The sequence below is a fragment of the Homo sapiens genome, chromosome 17, assembly GCF_000001405.40.
Source record: "Homo sapiens chromosome 17, GRCh38.p14 Primary Assembly".
Taxonomy (NCBI): domain Eukaryota; kingdom Metazoa; phylum Chordata; class Mammalia; order Primates; family Hominidae; genus Homo; species Homo sapiens.
Genome location: NC_000017.11, coordinates 33,255,118 through 33,267,991, shown reverse-complemented (window position 1 = coordinate 33,267,991; position 12,874 = coordinate 33,255,118). Strand labels below are relative to the sequence as shown.

The following is a 12,874-nucleotide window of genomic DNA, read 5'->3' as shown; positions in this document are numbered from 1 at the left end:
TGCACGGTGAGGAACCGATAATTTCCCAAAAGAAATTAAGATCTTGTGACCAAAAGAAGAGAGAATAGCTGCTAGGTGCTCAGAACCCAACCACCACCCACATCAGAGGGAATGGGTAATCTTCAGTTCCCTCAAGGAAACACCAGGGATTGTGTCTTCATTTGCCCCTTGCCACCTCCCTCATGTGCTACTCACCCCACACTCTCCCGTCCCCTCCACTTCTGGGTATCCTGTCCCTCCCCGGAGCACCATCACTTCCTACCTCCTGCAAGATGCCTGTGCAGCTTTCCAAGCCCACGCTCATCTCTCCTTTCCCTGAACTCCAGTTGCCCTTGCCATCAGCACAATGCCAGAATTATTCTTAACTGCAGCCTGTTTACTGCTTCACCTTTGGGGTTTGGGCTCTGCTGTAAGTTTCCCGAAGGCAGAAAACTTGTCAAACTTAGCTTCTGTCCTAGCACAGTGTTGGGTTCAGAGTCAGTGACTGATGAATGCAAGGCAATTAATGATCCTCGAGAGTGTGTGGCATGAATCATTACCGTCATCAGTCTAATACAGTCAGATTATATCAGATTCAGTCATCAGCTGTATCATCATACCTTAGAAATGATTCAAGCCTAGCATTCTTTAAGAGGTGAATCAACTGGAACCCAAAGGGCTGACTTATTCAAAGTTGCACAACTAGTTAAAGACAACTTTAGAAAGCCATCTCTTACTATTCCCAATGGAAACCAACACTCCTTGCTTCCTGGGGGGGGTAAGGGGTGCATGTGAGTGTGTGCATGCATGTGTGTTTATGTGGGCATGTGTGTGAGTGCAGTCAGTGGTTGTTTAATGAAACAAAGGCCTGCCAGGATGTCACCAGTATGTTCTTTTTCTTGTTCCTGCCCCATCCTTAACCAAACTTCTACCCATGTTAAAGTCCTCTGCCCAGTGAACAGCCAAGAAATGTCAACTGATTACCCCTAAAATTTCATTAATTTTGAGAGTCAGTGAATTTCAAAAAGTGGAGAATTTGTTGAGTTAATACAGAATCAACCAAATCGTTGTGTCACCCGAATCGCTCCAAGCAGTTTCCCTTGTCAAGCACCCCACCTCACTCTGCTGTTCTGTGCTACATGAAAAATTAGTTGGTGTACTGGAAATAAAGTCACAGGGAGCCAACATTTTGACAAGGTAATGGCCCCCTGCCTTTCTTGACATCTGCGAGGGAGTTGTAGTCCATTATAATGTCACAATGGCATGCACCATTGACATCTCATTGAATAATTAAAAGGCAGCTTAATCATAGCGATCATCCACTTAGTGTCTGGTTCCAAACGTCGGGGATGCACGTGTAAGGGGGCAGCCACGGTTGTGCGGATGGGGGACTAGTTCAAAGCTAGGTCACAGCTCAGACTACTGGACAGCAGGGTCTGCCACATGTGCTGCAACTGGGGGTGGGGGGTGGGGATGGGAAGGTAGCTCCTGAAGAAGAAGAAAAAAGATTTTCTACTCTCTTTTGCTTTTTTAAACTAAATGCAGGGGCAGACATTCTTTTTGACCCAAATGAAAAACTGGGAATCTGTTGTTTTTCATTCATCACAAATAGTTTGTGCCAAAATGGAACTTCATTTTCATTCTTTCATCAGGCAGATATTTATTGAATGCCTTCCCTGAGTCAGGCATTGCTCTTGGTGCTGTGGATATGGCAGGGAAGAAGATCGTCACAGCAGTTGCTGCCCCCTGGGGTTTATGTTCTGGATGGGGGGAGGATAAAAACACATGTGTGTTGTATACAGAACTCAAACAGGGGTTGTAGCAGAAGGGTGATTGAGTGACTGTGTTAAGTTTTGTGGTCAAGGTAGGTGTCTCTGGAGAATAGCATTGTGGGGTCTGAATGGCAAGGTGTCAAACAGGAAAAGTTTCCCGGGAGAACACTCTGGCAGTGAGGACAGTTAGTGAAAAGGCTCTGGGTGGGAAGGAACTGGACGTGTTCAAGGAGCAGCAAGACCACCATGGCCATGGGACAGGAGGTGAACTGAGGAGTGGGGCCAGCTCAGGTGGGCTTCACAGGCCAGGGTCAGGAGTTTGGATTTCAGTTTCCATGTTATGAGAAACTCAAGATGAGGTTGAGAAGAGGGTCAATATACTTTGAACATAGAGATCTTCCCTGCCACATGAGGAAGACAAAACAATGAATAGACAATGGCCATCTAGTGAAAAATACCCTGGGTAGAAGGAAGCCCAGGACTGGGAGAGCCAGAGCGAAGACACCCAATCCAAGAAGGCTTTCTAGGAGAGCTGGCCCCCACACTGAATCTTTTTCTTTCATTTAATTTTATTTTATTTTACATTCCAGGGTTCATGTGCAGGACGTGCAGGTTTCTTACATAGGTAAATATGTGCCACGGTGGTTTGCTGCACCTATCAACCCGTCACCTAGGTATTAAGCCCCACATGCATTAGCTATTTATCCTGATGCTCTCCCTCCCACCACTCCCCCAACAGGCCCCAGTGTGTGTTGTTCCCCTCTTTGTGTCCATGTGTTCTCATTGTTCAGCTCCCACTTGTAAGTGAGGACATGGCGGTGTTTGGTTTCCTGTTCCTATGTTAGTTTGCTGAGGATTATGGCTTCCAGCTCCATCCATGTCCATGTAAAGGACATGATCTCTTTCCTTTTTATGGCTACATAGTATTCCATGGTGTATATGTACCACATTTTCTTTATCCAGTCTATCACTGATGGTCATTTGGGTTGATTCCATGCCTTTGCTATTGCCCCACACTAAATCTTGAGGCAGATAAGGTGATGCAGAAGAGAACATTCCAGGCAGTGAAAACAGCCTAGGCAAAGGAGCCCTGTAAGAAAATGGCCCATCTGGGAATTACAGGGAGTGTATTGGAACTGGAGTCATGTGACCCAGAGAGGCCAAGAAACTCAGTGAAGGCCACACAGCATATGGTTCTTCACCTTTAGCTCCTTCTTTATTCTCCTCCAGTGAAGGTGGCCACAGCCACATAATCAGGGGCAAAGCCCCTTAACTGTTCTTAGCTAGGCTGATGCTAGGCTCTGGCAGAGTTTACATCCAGCTGGGCCAGAAATATTTGTTTTCCCCCAACACATGTGGTTCTGATTCAGTTCATACTTTTTCCCAACTATTGTCCTTCCCTGTAACTGTTTGAACCCTAGACTCACACCCTAAAGCCAGGATGAACCAGATTTCATGCTATCAGCACCCTCACCCCTGCCAACAGTCTTAGAGTTGGGGAAACCCAAGCCCAGAGAAGGGAACTGAGTTAGCCCAACCCACAGAGCTTTCAGGTGGAAACAGGGGGACCAAAGCACTGATCGCTTGGCTCTTGATCTGACATTGTTCTGGGAAACAGTTCTTCATCAGGAGTGAGATGAGAGAAATTCAGCTGCCGCCCTTACTTTACATTGTGAGAGATGCACGTGGCCTGGTATGGGATGCAGTGGTTCTGATCACAGGAAAGGAGTTAGGCAGCTTGCATTTCATTCCCTGTGCCACTGTTTACTAGCTGTGTGACTCTGGGCAATTTGCTTCACCTCTCTGTGTCTTGGTTTTCTCATCTGTAAAATGAGAATAGTCATACTTGCTCCACAAGATTATTGTAAGGATTCACTGAGGCAATCCATGCAAAGCACTTGCAGTCATGCCATGCACATAGTGAGTGCTTGATTCATGGCTCTGAGTGGGGCCATAGCATTCATCTCTAGGCCCTGTAAGAGCTGCCATGGAAGTGCCCACAATGTGCTAGGCACCATCCTGGGCGCTTCTCTACATCTGTGTGTGGTAGTGACATCACGGCTTGTAAAGTGTTTGGCAGATGTCATGCTGCCTGGCATATACCTTGTGCCTCTGCAGATTGATTGCACTCACATTGTGTCACTCAACCATCACGATAACGTTGTGAGGTGGGCTTTATAGATGCAGAAAGGCCGGCCCAGGTTGATTCAGTCACTTGTCCAAGGTCACACAGCTGGCAGGAGGCAGACTGAGATGCCAGCCCAAAGCTCTTGCCCTCCCCTCCACTTACCACCACTCATCTATTCCCAGGCTCCCAGCCCTGCGACTTGGGGACCTATTGATACTTAGCCGGTATCATGTGAGACTCACGAGGCTCCACCCTCTGTCCCGCGCAGAAGGGGAGCATGGAGAGGAACCGGGCACCATGCTTTAGGAATTCTTCTTGTAAGCAGAATGGGGAAAGACCAAGCTCTGCAGCGGGTGGGCCCCCCTTTCATATGCCCAGATCTGTGCAGCCCAGACACGCCTAGGCTGGGTAATGAAGGCACACTTCCTCCTGCTGCAGAACACCAACTCTTCATTCTGAAATGGCCTTCACTGAAGGCCAGAGCCCAGGCAGAGCAGGAGCAAGCACAGCAGTCTTCATGGGGCCGCAGAGGGGAGGCCCCATCTCCAGAGAAGGTCAAAGTCAGGGTTTGTCAGAAGCACCTAGTGGGAGGAGCAGCTGCTATATATGGATGGGGCTCCAGCGCCTCCTCCCCTGCTCAGCACCAGCTAGCATCTCTGCTTTTGTCAATTTCACATTGAGAATTTATGCCCAACATTTTCTAGGGAGAAAAGCTTGGTTTACTAATCAAAACATAAAAAACCCACAATTGCAGCCTGCAATAGGCCCGTGGACTCACAGCCAGGAGCCACAGCCCATGGTGAGAGTGAGCAGATAGTGGTCCTTTCTGAGATGCATTGTCCTCACAGCTTAGAGAGACAGCGGGTGAATCATGTAGCATAAACACAGTTCCTCCAGCATCTGCCACTGTAGAGGTCCCCGGCTTGTCTTTATGCAACCAGGCGGTGTACATATAAATAAATTAATACTAAGCTCTCAGCTAGGGCCGGAAAATGCCCAGATGGATAACAAACAGATGCCCTTCCCTCAGGGAGCTCACAGTCCAGTTAATGAATGAAGCAGCATTCATTACATTCCTCTAAAGAGCTCATTTACGGAGCAAACATCCATGAATTTCTTTCAAGTCTTCTCGCATCTTTTTGCATTAGCCCTGGGCACCACCTGCCTGGCTGAGACGTGGCATGTCTACCCCTCATTCCACGGCAGCCTTAAGCCCTCACTTCAACATTCCTCATCTACACATGGGCGAGGCTTTCTCTTGTGGCTTGGGAATGTTCACCCCATTCTGACCCTCCTTTTCCCTCTCATAGTACTTTATTCTTTTCCCTTATAGCACTCAGCACAATGTGTGATTACATGTTTATTTGCGTTATTTATTAGTTTAATGATGATCAGCCCTAAGAGGATAAGAACCATCTGTCACACTCAACAAGGTTTAACCACAGTCTAGCAGAGTATCTGTCCCTTATTGGACACATAGATTATGTGTGAATGACCCTTTGGGATATTTTGATAGGTAAGTTTGGAAAGTGCTTGGGGCCCAGAATACAGTGGGCTTGGAATAACAGTCTGAGAGAAACATACTATAGGCATTTGAGCAATTACAGACTATATATTCATCCTTCCCTTCCTTTTCCCTCCCTTCCATACCTTGCCTCCCTCCTTCCCTTCCTCCCTCCCTTCCTCCTCTCCTTCCCTCCTTCTCTTCCTCCCTCCTTTCTTCCTTTCTTCTTCCCTCCCTCTCTCCCTCCCTCCCTCTTCCTCCTTTTCTCCCCCTCCCTCCCTTTCTCCCTCTCCCCATTCCCTTCCCTATTTTCTCTCCCTCCTGTGCATAGGAAAATTAGAGAAAGAAAGGGAAAGAGATCCTTGGGGGTATGGAGGGGTGGTGAATTTTGAAGCAAGCAGGTGAGTTTTGGTAAGCCTGTTTCCAGGGACAGGTGGTCATCCGGGCAGTCTTTTGAAGCAGCACTGGGAGGGCCAGACATTTTCATGGCTCAGTGGAGCCTACATGGCGCCGAGCACAGACTGTTCAAAGGAAGCACCCTTCAGTCCCCAGCCTGACAACCCGGTCGTGCGCCAGCTACCCTTCATTACTCCTGTCTCCAGATGCTGCCCTGGAGCGGGCCCCAAGCCCTACAGAAGCATCTTCTGGCCCTGGTAGTCACACACTTCAGTGACAGCAAGAGGCCACGGCACCCAGATGGAGGCCAAGAGGGACCAGGCAGGCCAGCTGGCCTCCTCTGGGATAGGAGACGCCTCTGGAGTGAAGGCAGCCAGCACCCCCCACGTTCACCTCGTCGTGACTAGGATTCCAGGGTTGAAAGCATGGATTCTGGAGCAGACTTTCTGAGTTCAAATCCCAGCTGACTGCTTGCAAGTCACTTATCTGTGCCTCAGTTTCCTCCTCTGTTGTGTGGCTCATATAATCATAGTATTTGCCTCCAAGGACAGTTATGAGTCCTAAATAAGCTGGCATATATACAGCTCTTAGACACCATCAGTGTTGTGTGCCTCTCAGCTGTTATGATTACTGCAAAGAACTGGTTGTGTGACTGTCTCCCCTTCTCACATGAACTCCTTGGGGATAGAAACCAGACATGTCACTCATCAAAAGTTAATTGACTTTCTCCAGGTCACCAGAGGCCCATGACAAAGCATAGTTCCGTGCTTCCTTGCAGTTTCCCCTATTTCCCTGGAAGCTCCATGAGGACAAGGACCCAGCACCTAGCACCAGGGACACATAGCAGCTCAGAAAACAGCTGTTTTCTAATCCACAAACAACAGGAGGATTAGAATTAATGATGTTGTGAGTGGGTGATGAGGGGAAGATGGGAGACAGTGTTTATTGTGAGTGTCCCATCTTGCTCAAGAGCGTAGGTGGAAATTCTGATAACTAAGCTAGGAAATAAGAGGCAAAAAGCTAGTTTGGAGAGGGCATAATGCTGGGAATCACATTTCTGAAATTACTGATGGCAAACCAGGATACTATTTGGGTGGCAAATGGATTTGCTACTTGCTATCAATAGTCCTTTGGTTAGGACAGGCACACTGGGATATTTATTTCTAAGTCTGCAGTCAAATCAGGAGCGCAAGGGTCTGCAGCTGGATTAGGGCAATAAGGAATGAAATCAGAATGTTTGTTGGAGAGGCTTAAAAGGGTTCTGAAGAGGTGGTTCCTATCGAAGAGCAATCACCTGGCAATAAAATGTCTGCAATCATGCTACGTGGCAGCAGGAGGCCAGCGTTTGGTCGGCCCAAGCTCATTTACATGCAGACGCACTGGGGCTGCACCTGCACGGTGTGAGGAGCCAGTCAGCAAGGGGTGGTGGTGAGAAGGTCACCCCTGGGAAGGGACGGGGGCTGTCCCAAGGAAGCAGGCATGGGGCCCCAGCACTGGGTTGGAGAGAGGTGACTATCACGGCATCTCTGGCCTGCAGGGTTCAGCCGGGCATGGCATCCCCACTTGCCACCTTTCATCCCATAAGTCATTAAGACCTCTCGAGAAAAAGCGTTCTGCCTTGCAATACAGCAAAGACCTCGTATTCCCCGCCCCCCTGGCGGCAGCGATCCATAGTGTGGCCGTTGGAGGTGATGAGGTTCAGCAGGGAAAAAAACCACCAGACCATCATTTTCCCTTCAAGAAGCTATTAGATGATTCTGTCTGACCTTTGGGGGAGCCCTAGGAAGCTCAGAGTGGCCTCTGCTGAGTGCTCCAACTGGCCCCTGCAGAGTTAATGTGCCCGCAGATTCTGCTGTGAGCTGCATGCGTCTGGTTGCCATCTTTCTGGCACCCCTCTCCCTGTTGCTACTTTTGTGGTTGGAGAGCATTTGGAGACAAAGCCAGGAAATGGGCAGTGTGGCCCAGTGGAAGAGTCCTGGATTCAGGGGCCAGGAGGCCAGGCTTTATCCACAGATCTGCCCCTGCCTGTGTTCACTGGGGCAGCTCATTTCTCCCTCTGCATTTTTCTTTTTTAGAGGCAGGGTCTCACTTTGCTGCCCAGGCTGGAGTGCGGTGGTATGATCATAGCTCACTGCAGCTTTGAACTCCCTGGGCTCAAGCAATCCTCCTACCTCAGCTTCCCAAGTAGCTGGGACTGCCAGCGTGCACCACCGCACTCAGCCAATATCCCTCAGCATCTTTAATATAGAGCGTCCCAAAGTCACTTGGAGCAGAATGACTCAAAGCGGGGCCCCAGGACCAGCAGCATCAGCATCCCCTGGGAACTCATTAGACATGCAAAGTCTCAGGCTCCAGACCCACAAACCAGAGCATTCTCGGGTTAGAGCCCAGCATCTGTGAGCCAACAGTATTCCCAGGTGATGTGAATACACACTAAGGTTTAAGAAACATGAGACCAGAAGGAGGATTGCGTCTTACTTCCATCCCTATTCCCAGCTGGGTGCATGACACCTACTAGGGATCGTGTGATCATACGAACAAGGAGCATCATAAAATAAATGACCAAGTCTTCAGGCTGTCACTCTCTCCTCTTTGCATCACATCTTGCTGTTTTGGTATCTTTGTTTTCCTCTACCACCAAGACACAGCCTGTTGCTTAATTTACTGCTCAGTAAAGGGGGCCTGGCAATGATATGCACACCTTGTCTGGTGAGCCCTACATTTGAGGAATGGGCGGTGGGAGGTGCTTTGGCCCTGACTTCTGAACCAAGTAGTTACTGCATGTGGAATGCCAGGCAATGATATCTACACATGTATAATACATAGGTTTACAAGATTCTGTTATAAATTACAGGGTTTTATGACCCTGGTTTTGCAGACTGATGGCGTGAATTGTAACAGTGCAATATATTGCTGTACAAGATAATGCCACCAGCGATGGAGGCCTAATATATCATTATATCATTACCAAAGAGGATGTTGCATTTAGAAATGTGCTATTTTTATTTTTTAAAGTGCCTTTGGTGTTTCAAAACTGTCCGTTCCGAGATGCCCCAAGAACTGACAAGTTTTAGACAAATGCCACTTTTCATATCAACCCTGAGCCCTCACCATTACCCGGAATGGCTGCCTCAACCTGCTAAGGCAAATATGAGTATGCCAGGACAAAAGGAACCCCTTCCTTTCTGCTCTTCCCCACTCCTCACCCCACACACACCCTCGCTCTCTCACTATGCCTTACTCCTTACTCTTTGTCTAATTTCCCAGCAGACAGTTTGGAGCAGGACCACCTGGGATAGCTATATGTGCATGTCCCGGCCTCCACTGTGCATGTTCATAGCAATGTATCCTAGTGGTTAGGAGCATATGCCTTGAAGCCAGATGGTCTTGGGTTCAAATCCCTTGTTCTACCACTTACCAGCTGGGCCACTTCTGGGAAGTTATTTAACTTCACTGAGCTTTAGTTTCTTCTTCTACAAATCAGAGAACATTGTATATGTCTTGACTTCTGGCTTCCTCCCTGACCCACGTCTGGGCTCTACTCCCTCTTGCTCATGGTTGCAGCCACTAAGACCTCCTCTGTGTTCCACAAACATTCTAGGCAACAAACTCACCTCTACTACCACCTCAGGGCCGCTGTACTTTTCCTTCCTTCTGCCAGGAATACTCCTCCTGTGTTCATCTGCCTCCTCGCTCCCTCACTTCATTTAGATCTCTGCTCCAGTGCACTTCCTGGGAGCAGCCTTCCCTTACCTCATGGCACCAAATTACTCACTCAACTCCCTACCCATCCTCCTTCTCTGTCCCTTACCCTGTGTTATTTTGCTCCACAGCATGGATCACTCCTGACTCTTGATTAACTGATGGATTAATGTCTGTGTCCACCCAGCCCTCAGTAGAATGTAAGCTTCATAAAGGCAGAAATGTAAGCTTTCTGCATTCTTGACCCCATATCCCCAACGTCAAGGGCAGCACCCAGTGTAACTAGATACTCCTAAAGATCCGTTGAATTAATGATGCTGTGAACGAGTAGATTAATGAATTCACGTAATGAATGCTGTGAATCCCATGAATTAATGAATGCACGTGAATGACACCTACCTGATTACAGTTGGGAAGACTAAGATAAAGCATGCAAAATACTCAGCATGGTTCCTGTCACATAAAAAATCATATAACTTGTTTATCAAGCACTTACAACGTGCCAGGCATGATTTAAGCACCTTGCACACACTAATGTAGTTAATGCTGAAAACAATCCTATCAGGTAGAAGCTAATATTATAATGTAATCTCCACCTAGCAAGCAAGGAAACATAAGAACAGAGAGACAAATAACTTACCTAAGGTTACCCAGCTAGGAAGTACTAAAGCCACAGTTCTAAGCTACACTCTCAGCCTCTAGCCTATCCTGCCTCTTGGGACATGAGTGCTGTGAAGGAAGATGTGGTTGTCATTGCTGTTGTACCTGTGTTCTCTGAATGTCACAGGACCTTGATACCACACACCTGCCTTGCTCAGGAGATGGTACCTGAGAAGGAAGGGCTAGGTTGTGTGCATGGAGAGCCCAGCCCTCAACTCTCAGCCATCATCCAATCTGGGAGCTAGCCTGTGGAAGGCCACATAAGGCAGAAGAACGTGCACAGGGGTGGGAGTTTGCCACTCTGGGCTCTTGTCCTGCCCCTGAAACTAACATGCTGTGTGACCTTAGATAAGTTACCTCACTTTTCTGAGCCACAGCCACTTCGCCTATATACTAAAAGTGTGAAATAACAACCCTCCTCTCACTGTGGAATTTCTTAGAATATGCTTGGACAGCCTCCAGTAGAAAATATTGCTTGATTGAGAGACAGCAATGGAGAGATGTTCAAATCTCCCTTCCATCAGCGGGGCAGGGCCTCACCCATGAGACATCGGAGCAGGGGAGTCAATTTCTAATGGGCTTTGTAAAGGAGGGCACCTGGTCAGTGAGGCCTCCTCACTTGCTAAAGGCAGCCCATACCTGGCTGCTGCCCACGGTTGTGCTTACAAACGCAGCCCTGGTTTTGCCAGATTTCTGCAGATAGGCTGGGAATCTGAATTTGTTATGTAAAATCACTCCATTTTTTTCAATGTTGACACAAATTTCAGAGCACTCTGGGATGGGAGGTAGCACATTTGTGGGATACATTAGACCCAGGGGCCTGGCAGTCCACCATCTCTGCACCTGCACCTGCTGTAGGGAATAGGGAGAGCTGCTGCTAGGGAGATGACTCCTCAGGAGGCTTAAGTCTGACTATCACCTCCCAGCGAACCCAGTGGGGAGGGGAAATGGCCTCCTCCCATATTCCAAAACCAACAGGAACTGGTAAACAGCTTTTCTCTTACAGTAATTTTTTTTTTGAGATGGAGTCTCACTCTGTTGCCCAGGCTGGAGTGCAGTGGCACAATCTTGGCTCACTGCAACCTCTGCCTCCCAGGTTCAAGTGATCCTCCTGCCTCAGCCTCCCTAGTAGCTGGGATTACAGGCACGTGCCACCACGCCTGGCTAATTTCTGTATTTTTAGTAGAGATGGGGTTTTGCCATGTTGGCCAGGCTGGTCTTGAACTCCTGACCTCAGGTGATACACCACCTCAGTGCTGGAAAAACAGGTGTGAGTGCTGGGATCACAGGTGTGAGCCACCGTGCCTGGCCCTACAGTAAAATTTTTTATGCCAATTCATTTCTCTATTATCATGAAAGTCATACATGCACATGGTTTTAAAAAATGCAGAGTGTAAAAAAAATATAATAGGAAGTATAATAAAAAGACCCCAGCACTCTTCCTAAAAGTAAACCAATCATTTCTTGTGTCTCTTTCTAGCATATCTTTTTTTTCTTTGCACACTGGGCTCATATTCTACACATTTTGTTCTGTATCTTTTACTTAATGTATCTCAAACCTATTTCTTATCATCTCACACAAATCCATATTGTTTTTTTCATTGCTCTGTAACAAGCCCTTATATAGGCTCACTATCATGTATTTTACTAATCGCTGTGGCCAGACCCTTTGGTGGTATTCAGTTTTCAAAGAACGATCTTGTCTATATGATTTTTTGTACACATGCAGCATATCTGTAGCTTAAGAAATAGCAAGTATTTTTTTAAGTGACCACTCAAATCCATGGTAATTAGTCTGGTATAAATAGTGATGTATGAATCTGTAATGCGTTTTTTTTCCTAGTGTGAATTAAACATTACTGTGCTGAAGAACAAATAATAAAGCAAATGGAGGAAAATATTAATAAGAGGTGACTTAGGTAGAGGGTATATTGGTGTTCTTTGTCCCATTATTTGTAGCATTCTTGCAACTTTTCCCTAAATTTAAGATAATTTCCAAATTAAAAGAGTTAATAAGTTACTCTAGTGAAGCATCCAGAAAATCAAGTTTGAGGATAACATTTTGACATGCCTGAAATCTTATATTATTAATTATAAACACCTTAGTCCATCCTGCTATTTAGAGCCTTTCGTTTTCTATTTGATTTCTGAGAATTTACCATAGTGGCACATGCTTACAATGGGAAGTGAAATAAAACACTACAAAGATCAATAAAGGCAAAATAAATTATCTGACTCCTCCACCCCCCCGTCCCTCCGATCCCCCCTCCTCTTGATGTAACCAGTGTTACCAGCCTGATGCGAACATTTCCACAGCATACTCCTTGTTGACGCACACATATGTAAGCATATAGTCACCTGTTTGTGTGTTTTTAATCAGAAACTATATGCATTAGTCTAAAGCTTACACTTTTTACCTTATCGCGTGTCAACAGATAGAGATCTAACCACTCTCTTTTTTTCCAGTTTCTTTACATTCACATACAATATTTAGCACAACTCTTTCTTTCTGGCCAGGCATGGTGGCTCACACCTATAATCCCAGCACTTTGGGAGGCCGAGGTGAGTGGATCATTTGAGGTCAGGGGTTTGAGACCAGCCTGGCCAACATGGTGAAACCCTGCTAGTACTAAAAATACAAAAATTAGCCAAGTGTGGTGGTGCATACCTGTAGTCCCAGCTACTCGGGAGGCTGAGGCAGGAGAATCGCTTGAATCCAAGAGGTGGAGGTTT

General features: G+C 47.1%; 1 protein-coding gene across 2 annotated transcripts in view, besides 2 other annotated features; it reads left to right on the top strand.

The window, feature by feature from the left end:
• ASIC2 (acid sensing ion channel subunit 2) overlaps nt 1-12,874 on the top strand; it is a 1,143,682-nt gene that overhangs the window by 888,777 nt on the left and 242,031 nt on the right. The window lies entirely within an intron of this gene.
• Nucleotides 5,540-6,039: an enhancer, noted in NCBI's record as "H3K4me1 hESC enhancer chr17:31588971-31589470 (GRCh37/hg19 assembly coordinates)". NCBI's record gives its function as "activates a minimal SCP1, AML or CMV promoter by ChIP-STARR-seq in primed H9 embryonic stem cells {active_cell/tissue: H9 hESC(primed)}" and the evidence as "EXISTENCE:reporter gene assay evidence [ECO:0000049][PMID:30033119]".
• Nucleotides 6,040-6,541: an enhancer, noted in NCBI's record as "H3K4me1 hESC enhancer chr17:31588469-31588970 (GRCh37/hg19 assembly coordinates)". NCBI's record gives its function as "activates a minimal SCP1, AML or CMV promoter by ChIP-STARR-seq in primed H9 embryonic stem cells {active_cell/tissue: H9 hESC(primed)}" and the evidence as "EXISTENCE:reporter gene assay evidence [ECO:0000049][PMID:30033119]".